At 43.1% G+C, this 24620-nt stretch overlaps 1 long non-coding RNA gene across 1 annotated transcript in view; it reads right to left on the bottom strand.

Moving 5' to 3' along the window:
• The window catches only part of LNCOG (lncRNA osteogenesis associated), a 46087-nt gene that overhangs the window by 3120 nt on the left and 18347 nt on the right, over window positions 1-24620 (bottom strand). Inside the window, exons 2-3 of the long non-coding RNA NR_146531.1 lie at window positions 10580-10734; window positions 8845-9037 (exon numbers count right to left, since the gene is read on the bottom strand). This is a non-coding gene — a long non-coding RNA (lncRNA osteogenesis associated). The remainder of the gene's footprint in view (window positions 1-8844; window positions 9038-10579; window positions 10735-24620) is intronic.

The following is a 24620-nucleotide window of genomic DNA, read 5'->3' as shown; positions in this document are numbered from 1 at the left end:
ACTTACAATCATGGTGGAAGGCAAACGAAAAGAGAGGCAAGACTTACATGGTGGCAGGAGAGAGCGTCCATAGGGGAAACTCCAGACACTTAAAAAAAAACAAACAAAAACAAAACAAAACAAAAAACAAAAAAAAAAAACACATCTCGTGAGAACTCCTTCACTATCATGAGGATAGCATGGGGGAAACAGCCCCTATGATCCAATCACCTCCCACCAGGTCTCTCCCTTGACATGTGGCGATTACAATTCGAGATGAGATTTGGAAGTGAGTGTAGCCAAAGCATGTCAACGACCCAAAGGGAAATTGCAGAAAGGGCCCCAAGGAGGTGAGATGAGTGCTGGGAATTGACCATAGGGCTCAGCAATTGGAAGCACATGGTAATAGCATTGTCAGTGAAGTTGTGGGCATCATGGCCTGGCTGGAGTAGATCCATGAGACAATGACCCATGAGAGGAGCTGGAGACAGAAACTAAAGATATGGCTTGTGAATTTTGGCTTAAAGGAGATCAGGGAAATTGGGTGGTAGCTTGAAGAAGATGTGGATTTAAGGGAATATTTCTCTTTTTTTTCTTTCTTTTTAAAAAAAGATTAAGAGATATGAAATACTGATGGGAATTACCCAGTAGGAAGGAAGAGGGCACAACTGCAGGAGCTGAGTGCTTGAGTAGGTGAGAGGGGCTGGGACCCACTTCACAGGACTTTAAGGACAGCCCAAGTGGTTGATGGTAGCAGGAAGGTTGAAGGCCAGGTGTGAGGCACAGGCACAGCCTCCTCAGGAGAATCCGTGGTGGAAGCAGGTGAAGGTTATCTTCTGATTTTCTCAGTAAATTAAGAATTTGAGGTTAGGCACAGTGGCTCACACCTGTAATCCCAGCACTTTGGGGAGGCCAAGGCAAGAGAATCGCTTGAGGCCAGAAGTTCAAGACCAAACTAAGCAACATAGCAAGCCCCTGTCTGCAAAAAATGTAAAAAAACAAAATTAACCAAGTGTGGTGGTGCGTGTCTATAGTCTCAGCTACTCAGAAGGCTGAGGTGGGAGGATCACTTGAGCCTGGAAGGTGGAGGCTGCAGTGAGCTTTACCGTTGCACTCCAGCCTGGGTGACAGAGCAAGACCCTATCTAAAAAAAAAAAAAAAAAAAAAATTCAGATAGGAGGTTGTGGGTGTCACAGGGGAAGGGCCATCTGAATTTGGAGGAGAGGGGAGAAGTATGAAATTGTCTCAAGATGGGGAGAATAAGTTGACTAGGGAAGTGGCTCTCAAACTTGACGGCACATCAGCATCACCTGGAGGACTTGACAAAGCAGACTGACAGGCCCCGCCTTCTGAGTTTTTAATTCAGGAGGTCTGAGGTGGAGCCTGAGAATTTGCTTTTCTAACAAGTTCCTGGTGTGATATGGTTCGGTTCTTCTCACTTTCCTCCTGCTGCCTTGTGAAGAAAGTGCCTGCTTCTCTTTTGCCTTCCACCATAATTGTAAGTTTCCTGAGGCCTTCCCAGCCATTTGAAACTGTGAGTCAACTAAACCTCCTTTCTTTATAAATGACCCAGTCTCAGGTAGTATTCATTATAGCAGTGTGGAAATAGACTAATACATGGCGATATTGATGCTGCTGGGCCAGGAACCTCACTTCGAGAACCGCTGGACTAGGAAATGTGGAGAGATTCCTGAGGAGCATGAGAAGTCCTTGTGAGGTTAGTGTCCATGAGAACTGTGAGCAAGGGTGGGTGTTTTTCTCCAGCCATGTGCAATGTCTCAGATGCTGGCATGGATTTAACCAGAGTGGTGTTTTGCCAGATAAACAGGAGAGAGGCACTGGGTATTTATTATAATGGATTATGCTGTCTAGCTTAGGTAAGAAGTAAGTTAGACTGGGGCTAGTGTGAGGCACAGGCCAGGTGCCTAGGGTGCACCATTTAAAGAGACAAAATTTGCAAGTGCCCACCTGCTCTCGCAGGACCCTGAGAGTGTGTGTTTCCTTAGATGTTGCACCCTAGGCTCTCCCTTGTCTCCCTCTAGTCCTGGCTATGGAAGTGAGGACATAGGGCATTTGGGGGAGTAAATAGGTAATAGGATCAGTAGTTTAGAGATCCTCATTGGGTTGAAGAATTATTAAAATTGGGGTACTAGAGGAAGTGACTCAAAAATATGAGACAGTTTAAGATTTAGATGTTTGAGTGTAAGACTATGGAGTAAACGTGAGCAACATAATGAAATCTGTATAAAAAATAAAAAATTAGCTGGACACAGTGGCTCATGCCTGTAGTCCTAGCTACTCGGGAGGCTAAGGCAGGAATATTGCTTTCGCCCAGGAGTTCAAGGCTGCAATGAGCTATGACTGTACCACAGCACTCCAGCCTGGATGACAGAACGAGACCCTGTTGTCTCTTAAAAAAATTTTAAAGACTATGGAGTAGATACAATTCTTGCCATTCATGAAGTCTAGACGTGTATATGACTAAGGGAGTAAGCGGGTGGCTAAGAAGTGGAGGACAAAATCATTAAAGGTGAAGAAGTTGAGGAAATTTTAAAGGCCAGGGAACTAGAAGAATCATCTTCATGGACACTAAACCCCCCAAGAATCATGACTAGAGCTGTAGAGATAGAACTAGTAAACCTGGACCTAAAATTTTCCAGGAACGAGGGAGAGTAACTTCAGGTCCTACATAATTGAAACTTCTGTGATTCTGAGATAATCCCTTAGGAATTCTGTCCCTGCTGGGGAAGTCCCGGTGTGACAGCTGGTGTGACACAATGCCTGCTTACTGGATCAGACATTTCCGATGCCTCACTCAGGAGGAGGCTGAGATCCTGATATATATTAAATATATATTTTTAATATATTTTAACATATATTTAATATATCCAGGATATATTCAGAGTTGAGCCCAGTTATTGCATGGAATCCTTAACCAGAGGTTTAACGTCCAGATGAAGTGCTGCTCCTATTCCATGTTGAATGTTTTCTGACACAAAAGCAAGAATGCTCTCCCTGCCCTCCAGCTGTCAATAATTATAAAAGATGACCATCAAGAACATAGGTATAAAACAGAAGGTCTGGTCACAGCCCAGTGTGGGTTCTCTTGAGTTTTCATTTGCACAGAACCACGGCCACCAAACCACAGCATAGGTTTCTGCTGTTTTTGAGCCAGCTCATGGGTTAATGTTTCCCAGTCCTGGTCATTTGGAGTCAGTAGTCCACAGTGCATACTATGCATTTTCTTCTTCATCCATTCCCATCTTAATCCCTACAGTGACACTTCTAGTCACCCCCAATCAAAAAATGTATAATTATTTCCAGTCTTCATTCTTCTTGATGACATTCTATCATAATTTGCCTGATGACTGTCCTTTTCTGGTTTGATCCCCCACACTTTCCCCTGCTGGTCCCTTTCCTTGCACCCTCTTCATTCTGTGATCTCGTATCCCTTTTGCCCTGTAAGGGCTCACTTGTTGGCTCAAATTCATCCCAGACTGAACTGAACTAGACAATTTACAAATTTTCTGAATTTATAAATTTTCTAACTTAGTAATAAGCTGATGTTGCTGGTGGTCCTGTTCTGGCCTTGTTACCCTGGGAGTGGGACTAGGTTTCTACCTGTCCATACTTTCCAGAGGTTGAGTCCTAAACACGCTGGAGGAGGCTTTGTTCCTCTTAAGATGACAGGCAGCTCAGATTAGTTCTCTCCTCTGTCACATTAGACCAAGCGCTTACCACCTGACCTCCTGATTAAGACAACAGACTTGTTGCTGAATTATTTGGCTCTGGGGTCTTCCCTTCTCTAACCCCTTAGACACTGTTGCCAGCAAAATTTTCCCAAAGCACACGTCTACAGGAATGACATTCAAAAAAACCAACAACTGGTATGGCAACAACTGGTATGTGAGCCACTGTGTCTGGCCCATAATTTTCTTAATAATACTTTATTTTCTCTAGTTTACTTTATTGTAATAATACAGTATATGATCTATATAACATATAAAATGTCTTAATTATTATTAACACAGGCCTGGCATGTTGGCTCACACCTGTAATCCCAACATTTTGAAAGGCCAAGGCAGGCGGATCACCGGAGGTCAGGGGTTCAAAACCAGCCTGGCCAACATGGTGAAACCCCATCTCTACTAAAAATACAAAGATTAGCTAGACGTGGTGGCGAGTGCCTATAATCCCAGCTACTTGGGAGGCTGAAGGACGAGAGTCACTTTTATCTGGGAGGTGGAGGTTGCAGTGAGCGCAGATTGCACCACTGCACACCAGCCTGGGTGACAGAGCGAGACTCCATCTCAAAAAAAAAAAAATTATTATTACCACATATTACTGTGTTATCAGTGAGACTTTTGGTTAACAGCAGGCTATTAAGATTTGGGATAATCAAAAGTTACATGCATATTTTTGACTACATGAGGCTCAGCACCCCTAACCCCTGCCTTGTTCAAGGGTCAGCTGTATGTCAAAATTCTAACAACTGCTATAGTCATGTTGGCATACTAGGTGAACTCTAGACTTCTATAATGTCATTTCTCTTGTCAAGAACATTCAATAATAGTCCATCTTTAAGTACTGGATCAATGAGTATACATCAAAGTTCATTGTATCAGATACCAATATACATCTTCAGGAAGGTGGGCTCTGAAACATCTCAAACAGGCATCTTTAGAAGCAAACCTCATTCCTTGAAAATAATTTGGAATGGCCTCACCTGAACCCTAGTATTTGCACTTTGTCTGCAACAAGACTGTAACACAGAGGTGTATATTACACAAGGGCATTTGGGTAGAGGACTGTGCAGAAAAGTTTTTGGAATTCCAACAGAAGGGAGTTTCAAATGGGGATCCAAAGTGGCTATTCAAGGCCGGGCATGGTGGCTCATCCCTGTAATCCCAGCACTTTGGGAGACCAAGGCAGACAGATCGCTTGAGCTCAAGAGTTCAAGACCAGCCTGGGAAACATGGTGAAACTCTTTCTCTACAAAAAATACAAAAATTAGCCAGGCATGGTGGTGCATGCCTGTAGTCCCTAGCTATTCAGGAGGCTGAGGTGGGAGGACGACTTGAGCCCATTGTCACGCACGTCCGCGTGAAGAGACGACCAAACAGGCTTTGTGTGAGCAACAAGGCTGTTTATTTCACCTGGTTGCAGGTGGGCTGAGTCCAAAAAGAGAGTCAGGGAAGGGAGATAGGGGTGGGGCTGTTTTACAGGATTTGGGTGGGTAGTGGACAATTACAGTCAAAGGGGTTTGCTCTCTTATGGGCAGGGGCGGGGGTCACAAGGTGCTCAGTGGGGGAGCTTCTGAGCCAGGAAAGGAATTTCACAAGGTTAATCACTCAGTTAAGGTGGGGCAGGAACAAATCACAATGGTGGAATGTCATCAGTTAAGGCAGGAACCAGCCATTTTCACTTCTTTTGTGATTCTTCACTTGCTTCAGGCCATCTGGATGTATATGTGCAGGCTTGGGCTCAGAGGCCTGACATTCCCGTCTTCTTATATTAATAAGAAAAATAAAACAAAATAGTGTTGAAATGTTGGGGCGGTGAAAATTTTTTGGGGGTGGTATGGAGAGATAATGGGTGATGTTTCTTAGGGCTGCTTCGAGTGGGATTAGGTGCGGCGTGGGAACCTACAGTAGGAGAGATTAAGCTGAAGGAAGATTTTGTGGTAAGGGGCGATATTGTGGGGTTGTTAAAAAGAGCATTTGTCATATACAAAGATTCGTGATGGCCTGGATGCAGTTTTGTATGAATTGAGAAACTGAACAGAAGACGCAAGGTCTGAATAAGAGAAGGGGAAAAACAGGTATTAAAGGACTAAGAATTGGGAGGACCCAGGACATCCAATTAGAGAGTGTCCAAGGGGGTTCAGCGTAATTACTTGTTTGGTTGGTGAGTTTTTGGGCTCTATTCTTGACAGAGTCCTTTTTGTTAAGTTGGAGGCTGAGCTTGGTGAGGTGTGTTTTTAAAAGACCATTAGCCTGTTCTACCTTTCGTGAAGATTGAGGACGGTAAGTGGTATGAAGGTTTCACTGAATACCAAGAGCCTGAGAAACTGCTTGGGTGATATGACTAGTAAAGGCCGGTCCGTTATCGGACTGTATTGAGGTGGGAAGGCCAAACCAAGAAATTATGACCGCGGTGGCCTTTTCAGACCCTGTAGGAAAGGCCTCTACCCATCCAGTGAAAGTGTCTACCCAGACCAAGAGGTTATTTTAGTTTCCTGACTTGAGGCATGTGAGAAAATTCAATTTGCCAGTCCTGGGCCGGGGCAAATCCCTGAGCTTGATGTGTAGGGAAGGGAGGGGGCCTGAACAATCCCTGAGGAGTAGTAGAATAGCAGATGGAACACTGAGAAGTGATTTCCTTAAGGACAGATTTCCAAGATGGAAAGGAAATGAGAGGTTCTAAGAGGCGGGCTAGCAACTTGTAACCTACATGGAAGAGATTATGAAATGATGATAGAATAGAATGGGCCTGTGAGGCTGGAAGGAGATATTTTTCTTAGTCCAAGAACCATTTGCCTTGTGTGGGAAGAGATTGATAGGTGGAAGTTTCAGTGGGGGAGTAGGTGGGAGTGACTGATGAGAGGGAGAAAAACTGGCCGTGAGGGACAGAAGTTGGAATGCTAGCTGCTTCTTTAGCTACCTTATCAGCATAAGTGTTACCTTGAGCAATGGGATCTGATGCCTTTTGATGGCCTTTGCAGTGAATGAATCCAGCTTCCTTTGGAAGTAAAGCAGCCTTGAGAAGAGTTTTTATTAAGGAGGCATTAATGATGGAGGACCCTTGAGTAGTGAGGAAACCTCTTTCAGCCCATATAACAGCATGGTGGTGTAGGATATGGAAGACATATTTAGAGTAAGTATAAATATTGACGTGTAGTCCCTTTGCAAGAGTGAGGGCCTGAGTTAAGGCAATGAGTTCAGCTTACTGAGAAGTAGTGGAGGGAGCAGAGCAGTAGCCTCAATGATAGATGTGGAAGACACTATAGCATAGCCTGCGTTTGTTGGTGAGTGGCTATTAGGCCTGCTGGAACTGCCATCAATAAACCAAGTGTGATCAGGATGAGGAACAGAAAAGGAGGAAATATGGGAAATGGAGTGAATGTCAGGTGGATCAGAGATACAGTCATGGGGGTCAGGTGTGGTATCAGGAATAATGTGGGAGGCTGGATTGAAGTCCGGCCAGGAACAATGGTAATTGTGGGAGACTCAACAAAGAGTGAGTACAGCTGAAGGAGCTGGGGAGCAGAAAGTATATGCATCAGGTGGGAGGAAGAAAATAGATTTTGGAAGTTGTGAGAACTGTAGAGAGTGAGTTGAGCATAGTTTGTGATTTTTAGGGCCTCTAAAAGTATTAGGGTGGTGGCAGCCACTGCACAGAGACATGATGGCCAGCCTAAACGGTAAAGTCAAGTTGTTTGGACAAAAAGGCTACAGGGCACGGTCCTGGTCCTTGTGTAACAATTCCGACTGCACAGCCCTGCACTTTGGCTGTGTGTAATGAAAAGGTTTGGGATGCAGGGAGAGCTAGTGTGGGAGCAGTCTCTAAAGCTGTCTTCAAGGAATGGAAAGAGGAGTGGGGAAAGGATTTAGGATCTATGGGGTCAACTAGGTTTCCTTTTGTGAGTTTATATAATGGTTTCATTAGGAGGCAAAACCAGGTATCCAAAGGCGAAAGTATCCAACCATGCTTAGGAAGGAAAGGAGTTGTTATTTTGTAGAAGGGATTGGGGTTTGAGAGATCAGTCAGACATGATTGGCAGGGAGAGCACGTGTGTTTTTATGAAGAATTATGCTGAGGTAGGTAACAGATGGAGAAGTGATTTGAGCTTTGGAGGATACCTGATATCCTTTGGAGAATAAATGTTGAAGGAGCAGGAGGGTGTCTTGTTGAGAAGATTCAAAGGAGGCGCTACAAAGTAGAAGGTCATCAATATATTGAATAAGGTGAGAAGTGGAGGGGTGGAAAGAAAGTAAATCATGAGAAAGAGCTTGGCTGAAGTAACGAGGGCTGTCCCTGAAGGCTTGCAGCAGCATAGCCCAGGTAAGCTGCTGGGACTGATGGATGTCAGAGTCAGTCCAGGTAAAAGCAAAGAGAGGCTAGGACAAGGGGTGTAGGGGAATAGTGAAAAAAAGCATCTTTAACATCAAGAATGGAATAGCGAGTTGTGGAGGAAGGTATTGAAGACAAAAGAGTGTACAGGTTGGGCACCACAGGGTGGATAGGCAAAACAATTTGGTTGATAAGGCACAGATCCTGAACTAACCTGTAAGACTTGTCTGGTTTTTGAACAGGTAAAATGGGAGAATTGTAAGGAGAGTTTATAGGCTTTAAAAGTCCATGTGGTAACAGGCGAGTGATAACAGGCTTTAATCCTTTTAAAGCGTGCTGTGGGATGGGATATTGGCGTTGAGCGGGGTAAGGGTGATAAGGTTTTAATGTGATGGTAAGGGGTGCATCATCCATCGCCAAGGAGGGAGTAGAGGTGTCCTATACTTGTGGATTAAGGTGGGGAGATGCAAGGACAGGATGTGAAGGAGGCTTTGAATTGGGGGGAAAGGCGGCAATGAGGTGTGGCTGTAGCCCAGGAATAGTCAGGAAAGCAGACAATTTAGTTAAAATGTCTCAACCTAATAAGGGAGCTGGGCAGGTGGGGATAACTAAAAAGGAGAGCATAAAAGAATGTTGTCCAAGTTGGCACCAGAGTTGGGGAGTTTTAAGAGAACTTAGAAGCCTGGCCATCAATACCCACAACAGTTATGGAGGCAGGGGAAACACGCCCTTGAAAAGAGGGTAATGTGGAGTTGGTAGCCTCTGTATTGATTATGAAGGGGACGGACTTACCCTTCACTGTAAGAGTTATCCAAAGTGTCTGTGATGGTCCTATAGGCTTCCCAGGCAATCAAGCAGTGTCAGTCTTCAGCTGCTGAGCCGAGAAGATCTGGGAAGGAGTCAGTCAGAGAGCCTTGGGCCAGAGTTCCAGGGGCTCTGGGAGTGGCTGCCGGGTGAGTTGGACAGTCCATTTTCCAGTGGGGTCCTGCACAGATGGGACATGGCTTAGGAGGAATCCGAGGCTGCGGGCATTCCTTGGCCCAGTGGCCAGATTTCTGGCACTTGAAGCAAGCTCCTTGGGGAGGAGGTCCTGGAGGAACACCTGGCCACTGCAGTTCAGACGTTTTGAAGTTCTTGTGTGATGGAGATGTGGCTAGAGTTTCTCTCACAGTAGAGGCAAGTAATTGCAACTCAGAAATAGTTGCTACTTGGCTGCCTCTACTCTATTATTGTACACCTTGAAGGCGAGGTTAATTAGGTCCTGTTGTGGGTTTTGAGGGCTAGAATCTAATTTTTGGAGCTTTTTCTACTGTCAGGAGGGGATTGGGTAATAAAATGCATATTGAGAATAAGACAGCCTTCTGGCCCCTCTGGGTCTAGGGCAGTAAAGTGTCTAAGGGTTCTTGCCAAACGGGCCATGCACTGGGTTTTCATACTTGGTGAAAAAGAGCCTAAACGCTAACTGATTTGGGAGAGGTTGGATAAAGAAAAAGGAGCATTAACTTTGGCTATGCCTTCAGCTCCAGCCACCTCTCTAAGAGGAAATTGTTGGGCAGGGGGGGAGGGCTAGTCGCCGAATGAAGCTGTAAGCCAGACCAGGCGTGATGAAGGAAGGTAATAGAAGGGTTATAGGGTGGGGGAGTGGAGGCTGAAGAAGAGTTGGGACCTGGATTGGCCTGGCAAGGAGCAGCCTGGGGAGGAGGGGAAAGGTCAGATGGGTCTGTAGAAAACGAGGATTCACATGACTCAGAGCTTGGGGTGGAGACTGAAGGAACTGACAGGAGAGAAAGAAGAAAGATTTGGGACGAGTTGCATTGGGAGCAGAGACTAGGGAGGGACCAATGTGTAAAAGAATGCCTGGATGTCAGGCACCTCAGACCATTTGCCCATTTTTTGGCAAAAATTATCTAGGTCTCGTAGGATGGAGAAATCAAAAGGGTCATTTTCTGGCCATTTAGAACCATTGTCAAGTTTGTATTGGGGCCAAGCGGTGTTGCAGAAGAAAATAAGACACTTAGATTTTAGGTCAGGCAAGAGTTGAAGAGGTTTTAAGTTCTTGAGAACACAGGATAAGGGAGAAGAAAGAGGAATGGAGGGTGGAAGCGTGCCCACAGTGAAGAAGGCAAGTTTAAAAAGAAGGGTAGAGACACAGAGAAGGGGGGTGGGGAGCAGCCCTGGGCTGCAATGTGGGTGAGCAGCCAAAGCAGGCGTCCCCGCGATTGACTTGCCACCAAGGGAATGTGGGTGAATGACCAAGGCAGGCGTCCCTGTGGTGATCAGACACCAATGGAATGTGGGTGAATAATCAGGCAGGCGTCCCCACAGTGATTAAACACCAAGGGAAGACTGTCTTCCCAAGTCCATGACTGGCGCCAGAGTTTTGGGTCCACGGATAAAATGTGTCTCCTTTTCTCTACTAGAGAAGAAAAAGAACTGGAATTGGAAGGACAGGGAGATTGAAGGGTAGCAAGAGAGGAAGATTGAAGGGTAGTGAGAGAGGCTGGAGAAAAGTGAAAAGACCGCTTACCCGATTTGAAATTGGTGAGATGTTCCTTGAGCTGGTTGGTCTGAGGACCCGAGGTCGTAGGTGGGTCTCCTCACAGAGTGAGGGCAAGGACAGCGGACTGGTCCCCCAAAGGAGTCTCTCTGACCTGGGTCTTCAGCACCAAATGTCACGCATGTCTGTGTGAAAAGACCACCAAACAGGCTTTGTGTGAGCAACAAGGCTGTTTATTTCACCTGGGTGCAGGTGGGCTGAGTCCAAAAAGAGAGTGAGGGGAGATAGGGGTGGGGCTGTTTTACAGGATTTGGGTGGGTAGTGGAAAATTACAGTCAAAGGGGGTTGTTCTCTTATTGGCAGGGGCGGGGGTCACAAGGTGCTCAGTGGGGGAGCTTCTGAGCCAGGAGAAGGAATTTCACAAGGTTAATCACTCAGTTAAGGTGGGGCAGGAACAAATCACAATGGTGGAATGTCATCAGTTAAGGCAGGAACCAGCCATTTTCACTTCTTTTGTGATTCTTCACTTGCTTCAGGCCCTCTGGATGTATATGTGCAGGCTTGGGCTCAGAGGCCTGACACCCATGAGGTTGAGGCCGCAGTAAGCCATGATTGCACCACTGCATTCCAGCTTGGGTGACAGAGCTAGACCCTGTCTCAGAAAACAAACAAAAAACAAACCAAAAGAAAAAACAAAAAACCAAAGTGGCTCTCCAGCCAGCACGTAAAAATGTGTAAAGACAAAGGAAGATTATATTGACACATGGAGAGAAAAGAAACCAACCCATTCCCTTTATTAGAAGGCTGGGATCTCTAAGAAGCAGATTACAAAATAAGTCCAGCAACCAAGCACACAGGGGAGGTCCCTCCATAAATGGTGGGTGAGGAGACATGGAGGGTAAAGATCAGCCATGTGAATGGGATAAGTATTCAGATAACATTTTGGGGTTCAAGCAATTTTGGCTTCTACAAAAACATTGACTTGATCTTTGTTGCATGCTACTTGCAAATGTTGTTTTCTTTTCCAGAAAACTCTTTGGTAATGGTGTCTATTCTGCAATTCACATACTTTCTGAAATTCTAGGAAAAGGGGAATAAGTCAACAGCAGCCATATTCCAGGAATTTAATGGCAGGGGAATTGTTGAAACCAGTGCCCAGAAATAAGAGTAACATCTGTTTGTTACTCCTTTCAGGTCTGATCTTAAGACGTTCCTGTTGCATCTATCTTCCACAGTTACATCCTCAGACTTTTGACATCCCCTACTTGGCTATTCTGGGTGTCATTTTGCTAACCTCTTCAGTCATGCCAGTCTCAAGTTTATCTCTAACCTGTCCACTTGATTCTTCTGGTCCCTCCACTGATGTTCATCTGTCTCAATCCTGCATTAAGAGCTCACATCATCACCATTAGTAACACAGCAGAGTGGATAATTCCCACCTCCATATTTTTATTCATTTTTTTGAGACAGTCTTGCTCTGTTGCTCTACAGGCTGGAGTGCAGTGGTGCGATCTTGGCTCACTGCAACCTCCACTTCCTGGGTTCAAGCAATTCTCATGCCTCAGCCTCCTGAGTAGCTGGGACTACAGGTGTGCACCACCACGCCTGGCTAATTTTTTTGTATTTTTAGTAGAGATGGAGTTTCACTATGTTGGTCAGGCTGGTCTTGAACTCCTGTCCACAAGTGATCCACCCTCTTTGGCCTCCCAAAGTGCTGGGATTACAAGTCTAAACCACTGTGCCCGGCCATATTTTTATTCATTTATTCACTCATTCATTCATTCAATAAGCATTGAGTACCTCCTATAGCTCAGGAAATATGCTAGATCCTGGGGCTTGAGAGATAAATGAGACACAGATTCTGTCCTTTTTAGAGCTCATAGTCTAGTTCATGGGTGGGAATAGATGTGCTAAGAAGTAATGGGCACATAGTGTATTATATGTCCCCAATCTGCACATAGTATAATATATTCCCCAATAGAGCCATGCAAATGGCATAATATAAACAGAATAGGGGGTAAAGAACTCTGCTGGAGGAAGGCACAGAGAGGACTTCCCAGAGGAGGTAACATTTGATGTGTCGTAAAGAAGGTTTCCATTCAAAGGAAGGGATAAGGGCATTTCACACAGAAGGAATGGGAAGACAACGGTTTCAAAGGAGTATGGCATGTTCAGGAGATGGCAATCAGTTTGACAAGGCAAAGGAGGCTGTTTTGTGCTTAATCATGCATGGTTTTAAAGCTAGACTGTATGAAAGTACCCAGTGTGCATTTCGACGAGCTATTAAACTTATGTGCCTCAGTTTTCCTATATGTAAAATGTGGATAAATACAGCTTCTATCCCATAGGATCGTTTTGAAATTTTAACGTGTTAACACACCTAAACACTCAAAAACAAAGCTTTATATGTTGTAACTGCACAGAAAAATGTTTGGTGTCATTTACTTATTGCCATCATCGTTGTCATCATCATCATCCCTGCTTTGCCTCTTTTTATCCTTACATTTAACTAGTCACTAAGTTGTCTCTGTTCTACTCAATATTTCTCAAATCCATATCCTTATTACTATCCCCATTCCTATTGCCTTAATTTAAGCTCTTATCCTCTAATACTTAGTCTTGCTGCCTCCGATGATTTCTCTAGCAGTTGAATTCGTACACATTCCATCAAGCCTTGGAGGAAGGAAACCAATGGAGATGAGATTAGAAAAGTAATCAGGGACTAGATAATCAAGAGTCTGCTATGGCACCATAAGAGGTTTTGACTTTATTCTGTAGCTTATGAAGAGCCATTAAATATTTTAAGCAGAGAAGTGGCAATAGGATTTGCACTGTATAAAGACAATGTGGAAATTTAGAGATGTACTCTACAGGTGTCTTTGGAAGATTGGCTGGTGAGGAGAGGAGAGGGAGGGGAAGGAAGGAATCAAGAAGACGCTTAGGGTTTGGGGCTTGAGAAACTTGGTGGATCAGGTACCATCTTCTGAGATGACTGGAGTATGGAGTTTGGGAGAGGGTGTGGCTGGAAATGAAACTAGAGAGGAAAGAATGACTTAAATCACAAAACACTTTGGGCTTTATCCCCTGAGTCCAGAAGTAAGGGCGAAGAAATGGACACTTTTTTTTCTCGGGAAAAAAAGATAGGAAAAAGTAGAGCATTCATTCTCTTCTGTTGGCTTCTCTTCTTTGCATCCTATGATAAAGTCCTTCTCTTAGCCAATCCTTAAATGCCCTCATTTGCCCTTTCAGGTTATTTAAAATGTAATTATCATTAAAGAACCAGAGAAAGTCTATCTCTTCTCAACATTGATGGAGTCTGACTACCCCAGCCCACACTAAATCTCTTTTCTGATTGCTTATTGTATTAAATATTCTGATGCTCAGTTTAGTGCTTAATAGGTCTCTAATTACTTCCTGTCATAGCTTTATCTTCCTAACTACATTGAATTGCTACCTTTAAAGGCAAAATAAATTACTGAATCCTCCAAAAGGTATACAGTAGAAACTCTATACTACCTTATGGGTTCAGAGAGGGTTAGACGGAACCTTAAGACTAACTTGTCTAGTGGTGTTCAACCTAGAATTTCACATTCCAATATGGTTATAATAGTGTCCGCATGCTGTTTTTCTTAGTTTAAGCCTCTAATAGCTGTTGCATATTTTCTTATATAAAGTCTGTGCAAGCTTCTTTGGGCAATAGTTATATTAATCCAGTTTAGTAACACTGGGGATCACATAAGAAATGAATCAGTTACTTAACAACTTCTGGTTGATTAAAAAAAATTCTTTCAAAAGATAGCAAGTATGAGAAAGGATAAAAGCATTCCTTGGTGGTAACATCACTAATCATCAAGGATATACAAATCAAAACCACAGTGCAATATCATTTCACACCTGTTTAAAATGGCTATTATCAAAAAGATGAGGCAATTTTTGGCAAGAGTGTGGAGAAAAGGAGACCTTTGTACATGGTTGGTGGGAATGTAAATTAGTATAATCAATATGGAAAACAGAACAGAGGCTCCTCAAAGCTAAAAATAGAAATACCATATATCCAGCAATCTATCTATGGGTGCATAACCAAAGGAAATGAAATTACCACCCCCATGTTTATGCATTATAATTATGCAGCATAATTTATTGCAGCATAATTCACAATATCCAAGATCTAGAAACAATAACCAAGATATGGAAACAACCTAAGTGTCCATTGATGAATGAATAGATAAAGAATTTATGGTACATGTCTACAATGGAATATGATTCAGCCTTAAAAAAGAGAGATCTTGCCATTTGTGACATGGTTGAACCTAGAGGACGTTATGCTAAGTGAAATAAGCCAGACATGGAAAGAAGAGTACTATATGATCTCATTTATGTGCAATCTAAAAAGAAAAACAAAGCTCAAATGCATAGAAACAGAATAGAACAGGGGTGGGGAGATGAAGAGACAGAAGTCAAAGGGTAAAAAGTTAGTTATGTAGGATGAAGAAATCTGGAGATCTAGTGTATAACATAACTATCCTATAGTTAATAGAATTGTATTTTATACTGAAAATTCACTGAAAGTAGACCTTATGTACTTTTGCCACCCACACTAAAAAAGTAACTATGTGAGATGATGAATATGCTAATTTGCTTCTTGACTGTAGTGACCATTTCATTATGTATGTTTGTCAAGACATCATGTTGTACACCTTAAATATATACTATTTTTTTTTTTAAATTACTTGGTGGTAGAAATTAGCAAACACTAATCTAGGCCAGCTCTCTTATTTTAGTGGTGTGCAAACTGAGACAGAAGGCCCTAGCTGAGGAACTAGCCCAAGGTCATAACCTACTCAATAGCTGGCACAGGGCTGGAAAGCAGACCCTCACACTCTAGCTCGGTGCTGGTCTACCGAGAGTTTCCCATTTCTACTGGGAATTGCTATTGACACATGCAGGGCAGAGGAAAAGGAAACTAATAATTGTTGAAGGCTTAATATTTACAAGTCACTGTATGGATGCTTTATTATGTATTATCTCCTTTCTCCTCTGCACACACACGCACACACATGTGTGCACACACACCCACACAAAACCCTATGAAGTGGCTCTTAATTTCCTTTCTTTCTCTCTCCTTCTTCCTCTTTTTCTTCTTTCCTCCTCCATCCCTCCCTCCCTCCCTTCCTTCCCTTTCTTTCTTTCTACAAAACTGAGACCATCAAGGATTAAGAAATGCTGCCCAAGTCAGCCAAGTCTAAAGTGTCTCTCCAAATCTAGAATATTTCAGGATATTTACATGGCTCTCAGGTGCACACCTTCCTGTTTTTGAGAAAAGTTCATGGGATGGGAACCTTGAAAGGTCCTGGGAAAAATATGGTGGCCTAGTGCTCAAGAGAGTACTAGAGAAAATGGTAAAAGTCCCAGGTAAACCAGAAAATTCTTCAAACCCAGTTCTTTTCAGATTTTGTATCTGGCCTGAACCACATTATCTGCCTCCCTCTACTCTCCAGTTCTCTGTCTCTACTGGCACAGCCCAGCCCCTCTCTCCTCCCCTAACCTTCTGAGATCTCCACTAAGGGACAGTCTAAGCAATGGAAATAGGCAACTTTGCCCTTTATCTCTAGGTCCTTCCTCTATCCTGACACGGCTATCTAGTTGCAAATCCAGATATCAAGTTGAACTTCAAGTTTACAATGTGTCAATCTTCAACTAGCTCCTCTTCCACTATTTCCCATTTCTGCAATGGCATTATGATCTCCCCAGTCAGCGAGGCTTGACCCTCAGAAATCTCTCTTGTCTCACATCGTTGCAGGTCTAAGCCCTGTAGGAGCCACTCCCTAATTTCCTTCACAGTCTTTCCTACCATCCACAGCCACCACCAATTCTCCATCACAGACTTCATAGCCCCTCACCTGGATTACTGCGATGACCTCTTGCTTTCCTGTCCCATCTCAATCACTCTCTCATTCTATCCATCCCATTTCCATATCTTGCCAGGTTAATTTTTTTGAAAGCTCAGCCCTGATCATGTCATATGACTCCTTAAAAACTGCCAGTGTTTTCCTGTCACTACCAAGGTAAATACAAAGCTTGACTCATGTTCAAGCCTCACCCAATTTCATTTCTCATCTCCAGTATCCCTATAGCATCTTCTATGGATGACAACAGTAAACTGCTTCTATACCATTATTTCCCCCGACTCTTCCATCTCAAAGCTTTTCCATCTCCATGGAGCAGTTGATACTACCGTTCCCTTTTCCTGGGATGCCTCCACATTCAAGACAAGGGATGAAAGGAAGGATGATAGGAAAATTATTATAGGACTTTTCATAATCATTTTAGTTTGTTATAGGCAAACACTGGTATATAAGGAATGACATTTTGACTGCTTGGGGGAGGTATTTTTAAAACATCTTTTGTAGTGTATGTACAAAAATGAAGCTGCTGCTTATACTCAAGTGCTGGTCAACTTTCTGGTATTTTCTGCCTTTGTGAACCAAGACATTTCATGTATTTCCTACGCTTCCTTGGTGGAAAAAAAAAAACAAACCATAGTGTTCTAGAAAAGCATGAGAAAAAATAGCCTTTCCACCCAAACACAGGCTTTGTTACCAACCAGGCAGCTTGAGGTGTTGGGGACCCATCAAAGAGGAGGGTTGAGACTTTAGGTGGCAGGCCTGGGCAGAGAGTGGTGGGTGGGGCCCAAAGGCAGACTCTGCAGGGGCCTGGAATTTAACCTTGTGACCAGAGAAAGTGCTTGTGTTTGCATTTGCAACATGTGTTTATTGTAATCATTACAAAAGAATCCTGACTTTATGCCTGTGTTCTCTGCATGCTGTCCATAGACTATCTGTATCAGAATCAGCTGGAGAGCTTGTTTAAAGGCAGGTTACTGGGCCCCTGAGAATTCTATCAATCAGGACTGAGGCACTGGGACCCTGGCATTTCTGTTTCCAACAAGCCGCCCGCCTCTGAAACTTGGGAGCTCCTGTAGGCTGTGCTCTCCTCACAGGCAGAGACGCTATGGAGAGGTCTTGGGTCCAGGGCTGTTCGTCTACTTGTAACAAAACCACTGAAGCCCCCAGTTTCCACTTCCTACCCTTCCTGATAGCACATCTTCCCAGAACAATGACATATTTTTGTTCCCTACTAGTTACTGATTTTTAAACTCTTTTTTCTTTATTCTGTCTTCTATTTCTCCCACTTCCTACTCATTGAGACCATGGTTTTATTCAGTCAACCAGAGTCCTAAGTTTCCATTTTTAGGGAAATTTTGCAATTTGTCTCTCAAGTTGCTCTCCGAATCAGTCACAGTCTGGCCAAGATTGATCTCAGATGTACTCTACAACTCCAGTAATACTTTCCCTGTGAAATTTCAGAATTCTTTTTGCTCCAAATTTGAGATATACTTTCAGTCCTTTAATGTCCTCTGTGAAATGTGGTACCTTTATTTCAATAATTCCTTCCTTGGCTGAATGTGTAGACTTTCCTGTGTCTTCTTTCTTGGGAATAATAGAATCATGGAAGAACAGAACCAGTAGGCAGGTGACCGTAATTGTGTGTGGAACTACAGAAATATTTTTTTTTTTTGCAGAGCTCTTGTCTATATTAACAATTGGAGCCACTCCAAATCAGCATGTCAGCATCATTCTGGTGGACCAATCTCATGTGATCCTGTTAAAGAAACATCTGCTGGCCAAGCTGCCCTTCTGGCATACAGGCCAGGCAAGAGCGTTCCACATGCCCCCATAGGTATGAGTCTAGTCCAGGTTCGCTGTACCCCGTCCAGATGTCACTGCCAGCTCTGGCTGGCCCCAATCACCAGAGGTAAACTAAAAATTCAAGGAAGAAGTTCCAAATTCTAGGACCCTTTGAGTCAAGGCCCTGTTGGTCCAGCTCTAAGGGTGAGACTGCCAGTAGACCAACTATATATCAACACCACAACTTCCAGGTTGAGATCAGTTGGCTGTATCTAAAGACAGCTGAGGATGTTCATTTGTTTACCCTTTATGAGGTAGTGGTTGTTTTATATTATTTTGAAAGTTTTTACTTCTGATAATGAGAAAACTCCTATTCTAATACTAGGTACTATATGAATTATATCCCTTCTTCTCTCCCTCCCTTCCTCCCTCCCTTCCCTTCTTCCTCCCTTCCTCTTTTCCTTCCTTCCCTCCTTCTTTCCCTCCTTGTCCTGCCTGCCATGGTGAAATGCACAGCTGTACTATCTTGCCTGGCCTAACACAAACCATTACAAAGGGCCACAATTGAAGGCCCTGCTCACACACCCAAGTCCGAGCCCCAAAGTCACCAAAATCCTCTCTACAGGTATACAATATTTCTTTCAATCAAAATTCCACTGTTTTATTTGCTCAGTTAAATGCTGAGTGGACAATGAAATTGCTCAAGGACCAAATTATTTTCTGAGGAGTCAGGCCTCTTCTCATCTGAGTTCTTAACTGAGAAATAAAACAAAGGGTGACCGAAGGAGACATAAATATAATGATTGTTATTACCAGTAATAATAAAATCTGAGGCACGAATAGGGATTTGTAACTAAATTAGGCAGAGAGTCACAGCAGAGCCAATGACCAATTTCCTTCCAAGAGTAAAGTCGGTGAAGCTGAGGGGAACATGCCTGGTTTATTTTTTGTCAAGGTTGCCAATCTGGGTAATCGCCGTCCTCCTCATGCCCTTCTCACAGGCTGTGTGCAGGGCTACAAAGGGAGGGCCAAGAGTGATTAACCGGAAGCCATCCATTTGGAAGTAAACATAAATGAAAGAGTTATTTCTCCCGCAAAATTATTTTATGAACCAAATTGTTATTAGAAGTCCATAATTCTTTATCAAAATCAAAAGAGCTGTCAAAAAAAAATTTCTTATGAGTTTGCAAAAAAACACGTGGTGGCAAAATCTTACCTAAAATGATATGAGGTTACCTAAGACATTTACTTATCCCATCTAATTGAATATTTATATGCTTTGATACTAAAATATAAAAGTTTTGATTATGGGGTGTAGACACAGTTGGGTATGCTATTTTAAATGCAGTATGTGCACCACGTTACTGTTCTGAAATGTATACAATTCTGAGTCATGAAACGTAATGATGGAGTAGCATATGCATAGAATCATAGGTAAGAATGAAAAGGAGAAGGAGGAAAGAGAACATACATTCCTTCTTTATCCCCCATCAATCCTGAGAGGTAGATATTCTTCCCATTTAACAGTCAGAGAATGGTGGTCCAGGAAAGATGGACAAACTGAGGCCCAATAAAAGGCCAGGGTTAGGACTCAGGCCAAGGACTCAGTCAGTTTGGCTAACTTCCCTCCTTCCTGACCATGACCCCAGAAGTGTGTTGGTCAATGCCATCATGTTAGGATGAGGAAATTGGAGAGCAAAGAGTAGAGTATCTTGCCCTGGGACTAGAATCCTGGTGTGTTTCTGGCTACAATTTGCCTCCTCTGAAAATAAAATTTCATACCAATTCCTCCCCTTCCCCATGATACAAAAACAATGACTGAACAGAATGAAGGATTTCTAGATCCTTGCTTTCATGTATAGATTTCCTTTATAAAAATGCATTTAATGTGTGATTGTTCATTTGCATGTCCATTTTCCGACAATATTGGTCCTTAAAGCAGAGGACCAGGTCTTTCTTTTTTGTACCCCTCAGAGCTGAGCACAATTCTCAGCATGTAACAGGTGGTCCATCAGTAAACAGAACGAATAAATGAATGAATGAAAAGTTTGAGGTCTCTGTGTCTGCAGCGTTAATCCAGGCTGCCTGGGGTAACTCCTATCTCACCTCCACATTTTCCTGATCCTCCAGACCTTAGGGTACCCCCTACCCACAGACTCCCACCTACAGAACAGCAGGTACATTGCAACACAAACCCACCAAGGGACAAACATCAGAGAGGATATGAGAACCTGTTCCTATAAAGCATAGGTGGGTCTTACTGGAGTTCTCTGTTTATCAGGCCTCTCTAGGATCTTTACCTTTAGAAACAACTTAGAAAGCAAGAGAGAAAGAGAAGGTGGTAAAGAAAACAGGAGTCTTTAATTCTGGGTCAACTTTCACTTCTTGACACGCAGCAAGGTCTATTAGAAAATGCTACCACAGCAGGAGTTATTGTTTCCTAGGGTATCAGAGAAGAGAGAAACTGATTTAAAGCTGTATATAAGTACATAACATTTTATGTCAATTTTTTGAAATTAAAGTTTAAAAAAGTCAGGTGTTAATGGAACCCAGAGAGCAGGAGAACATTTTCCCTTATTTTTATTTTTTAGAAGGAATCTCGCTCTGTCACACAGGCTGGAGTGCAGTGATGTGATCTCGGCTCACTGCAACCTCTGACTCCTGGGTTCAAGCGATTCTCCTGCCTCAGCCTCCCAAGTAGCTGGGATTACACGTGTGTGCCACCACACCCAGCTAATTTTTGTATTTTTAGTAGAGACGAGGTTTCACCATGATGTCCAGGCTGGTCTTGAACTCCTGACCTCAGGTGATCCGCCTGCCTCGGCCTCCCAAAGTGCTGGGATTATAGACGTGAGCCACTACGCCTGACCAGGACTCGATTTCTTTAAGCTCCTTGTGTTCTCTGTGGCTGATCCATCACCTCTGTGGCATAAGTAAATGTGGGGAAGACTGCTACTTCTTCTAGCTGGTCAGAACCTTTATGGAGACATAGATTAAAAAAAAAAAAAAAACCTTTCCTGCAAGGCTGGATAGCCAGTTATTTTAATGATCTGAAATCACCTAAGATTAAAGTACTTTGAATTTGATTTTGATACATAGTGTTCTATAGAAAGCACAAGCAAAAATAAATAATTCATGAATTACGTAGTACATGTATGATTTACTTACAGCTCAGAACTCATGCTAACTCAGAGAACATCAAACACCCTACACCCTGGCCTGCCATTTAAAGCAGCATTTAGGGGGATGAAGGATAAGACAGAACACAGGAGATGCACTGTAACTTTATATATGGCAATAAAAAACTTACATATTTGCTGGGAAATAAATTGAACAATGATGAACATAAAAGGTGGCTTTGAGAAAACTAGAAGTATCAAGAGATTGACTCCTGATGCCATGAAATAAATCATAATTGAGCCTTTAACAACATGGGGATTCGGGGCACTGACCCCCTGAGCCCTTGAAAATCCACAGATAACTTGACTCCCCCAAAACTTGACTACTAATAGCCTACTGTTGACGGGAAGTCTTACTGATAACATAAACAACACACATTTTGTATGCTATAAGTAGTATATACTGAATTCTTACAATAAGATAAGCAAGAGAAAGAAAATATTATTTAAAAAATCAGAAAAAGGGAATATATTTACTATTTATTAAATGGAAGAAATCATCAGAAAGATCTTCATCCTTGTCTTCATGTTGAGCAGGCTAAGGAGGAGGAGGAGGAGGAGGAAGGAGTTGGTCTTGTTCCAGGAGTGGCAGAGGTGGCAGAAAATCTGCGTCTAAGTGGTCCCACACATTCAAACCCAAGTTGTTCCCGGGTCCACTGTATGTCTGTTATGTTACAGCCTTCTCGCTAGGCTTTTTCCTAATTAATTCTTCATAATATCTTGTGATTTTTTTCAGTCTTTTCTGAATATTCCTGTTTCCTAATAAAATTTTAACTATTAAAAAAAACCCCTAAAATCCCTACAATGATCAGGAGAGGAACATAATTTTGTAAGTTTCCAGTGTATTTACTAGATCATTGTTTTGCAAACATTTTGTTAAATAGCACAAATCTGTCTCCCCCTCACCAGCCATTGTCCCCCTCCTTTAGCCCACAGAGCCTCGGCTGGGAGGCTGTTTCAGGCATGACTCCTTCCTGCTGCTGTGTTACATTAATTGAGTTACCCTATGGGTGATCAAACAGTTGTAGAGGTGTAGGGGTGACATAGTATCTGCCTTGGTTAAACTGTATTTTCCTCACAAAAAAGTGATTATATCAATTAAATAGAGAAAAATAATGAAAAATTACCTTTAAATCCTTTATTAGTTTTATAAAATGCAATCCTTTGCACTCTGGGGACATCAAGGCTAACGAGCACCTTCCACCTGGCCCTAGCCCAGGGGAAAGTGCATGTGTCCTGAACCAGGGCAGGGATCAGATCCTTCATTAGTTATATATCCTCCATTAGTTTATTAGTATATTAGTTTAAATCCTTCATTAGTTTTATAAAATGCAATCCTCTGCACTCTAGGGACATCAAGGCAAATGAGCACCTTCCACCTGGCCCTAGCCCAGGGGAAAGTGCATGTGTCCTGAGCCCGGGCAGGAATCAGATGGGAGGCCTTGGCCACCTGAGGCTGGAATTGACCCTACAATTTCAGTTGAGGTGAATCCTCAATGACGAACAAGCTTGTAGTGAAAAGAGGTTCATTCCCACTAAGTTCTGCCTTTTCCATGAAGCCACCTCAGTTGTAAACACCATCTCACTAATGTCTTTGTCTTTGTTAAAGATAAACATCAACAGTAACACCTCATTCTGAGGGGGAATTGTCATGCATATAATGCCCTCCCTCCACCTCTGTATGGATGGAAATAATCACTCTTCCTGGAAAACCAGTCCTTAACAGAGGTTTTATCTCTTTCCTTCTCTTCAAATGTAACTAATTCTTGTGTGAAACTTCTAGTCAGTTTTGGCCTGCTATAACAAATTACTATGGACTGGGTGGCTTATACTCAATTTATTTCTCACAGTTTTGGAAGCTGGAAGTTCAAGATCAAAGTTCTGGCAGATGTGGGGTCTGATGAGGGTTCTCTTCCTGATTTGCAGATGGCCACCTTCTTGCTGTATCCTCACATGATGGAGACAGAGGTCATTTCTCTCATGTTGCTTATTGAGCACTGATCCCATTCATGAGGGATCCACGCTCATGATCTAATTATGTTCCAAAGGCTCTACCTCCAGATACCATCTCACTGGCGATTAGGGCTTCAATGTATGAATTTGGCGGGGGAGGGGGAAAACATTCAGTCCATAGCAGAATTTATTCCTAAGTTAAAAAAAAAATCAACCCCAGAAATTCTGAAAAGATGAAAGATACTCAGTAGGCTAAGACCATAGAGGTCTGTGAGATCAGGGCTGCCAGCTGTGGTGCAGCATTTGATAACACCAAAAATTAACTATCACACCTGCTGCATGACTAGCCATTGTTGCTCCAGTGACTCAATCATTCTAAGGCTTTGCAAGAGGCATGTTAACCTATGTAGGCAATCAGAGTGGCACTTAGGATGGCACATAAAGGAGACCTCCATCATATTAAATTGCCATATTCAAGCCTGTCTTTAAGGCATGATATCCACACAAAGCAGGTGTGATAGCCAACGTGGCAGGTACCAGGCTGCAGAACTCTTGATAAGATCATAAGACAAACTGACTCCATCGACCATAAAATAAATGGTTCTTTCCCCCGCTTCCCCTCCCTTGAGTTTTTGAGTTAGTCTATGTGATATTATTAGCATCTGTCTTACTCGCTCTTTTAAAACAAATACGACAGTCAGTTACTTTAGGAGAAAGAATAAGTCTTGCCAAACAGAGAGGAAAACTGGGCTCTCTGGAATGTGCAGGCCCCAATGGAATATGAAAAAGTGAAGTAGACCCCCAGTCATTGAAGGAATGCACATAGAGCTCCTCAAAGGGAAATCCTGCCACCCACTCTGTGTGGCATGGGCATTTGGGCATTTTGTATAGCATGAACATCTCCCACAGCCACACACACTACCATGCCAAGCCCAAGCAGCAACCTAGATTATGAGGCTTTTAGGGAGCTTGAACACACAAACAGATGACGTTCACCAATGGTCATGAACAGACTGGATGTTGTGCACCAGTTGTTTTGTGAGTTGGTTCATCTAAAACAGTAGCGTCAGTGGGGTAGGGTCTCCCTGAGATCAGCCCTCAGCATTTGCCACTACAGGGGTTGGAAGAGGGGTACAGGGATGGGAGGCTTGTCATGAAATCTGCTTTAGCTAAGATAAGACCCTCATCCAAGCCTCTCTCTCTGGAGCAAACTACCAGGATCAGGATCAGTCTCCTGCCATGACCTGAAGC

This window comes from Homo sapiens, chromosome 12, assembly GCF_000001405.40.
Source record: "Homo sapiens chromosome 12, GRCh38.p14 Primary Assembly".
Lineage (NCBI taxonomy): Eukaryota > Metazoa > Chordata > Mammalia > Primates > Hominidae > Homo > Homo sapiens.
This window is presented reverse-complemented; position numbering and strand designations above follow the sequence as displayed.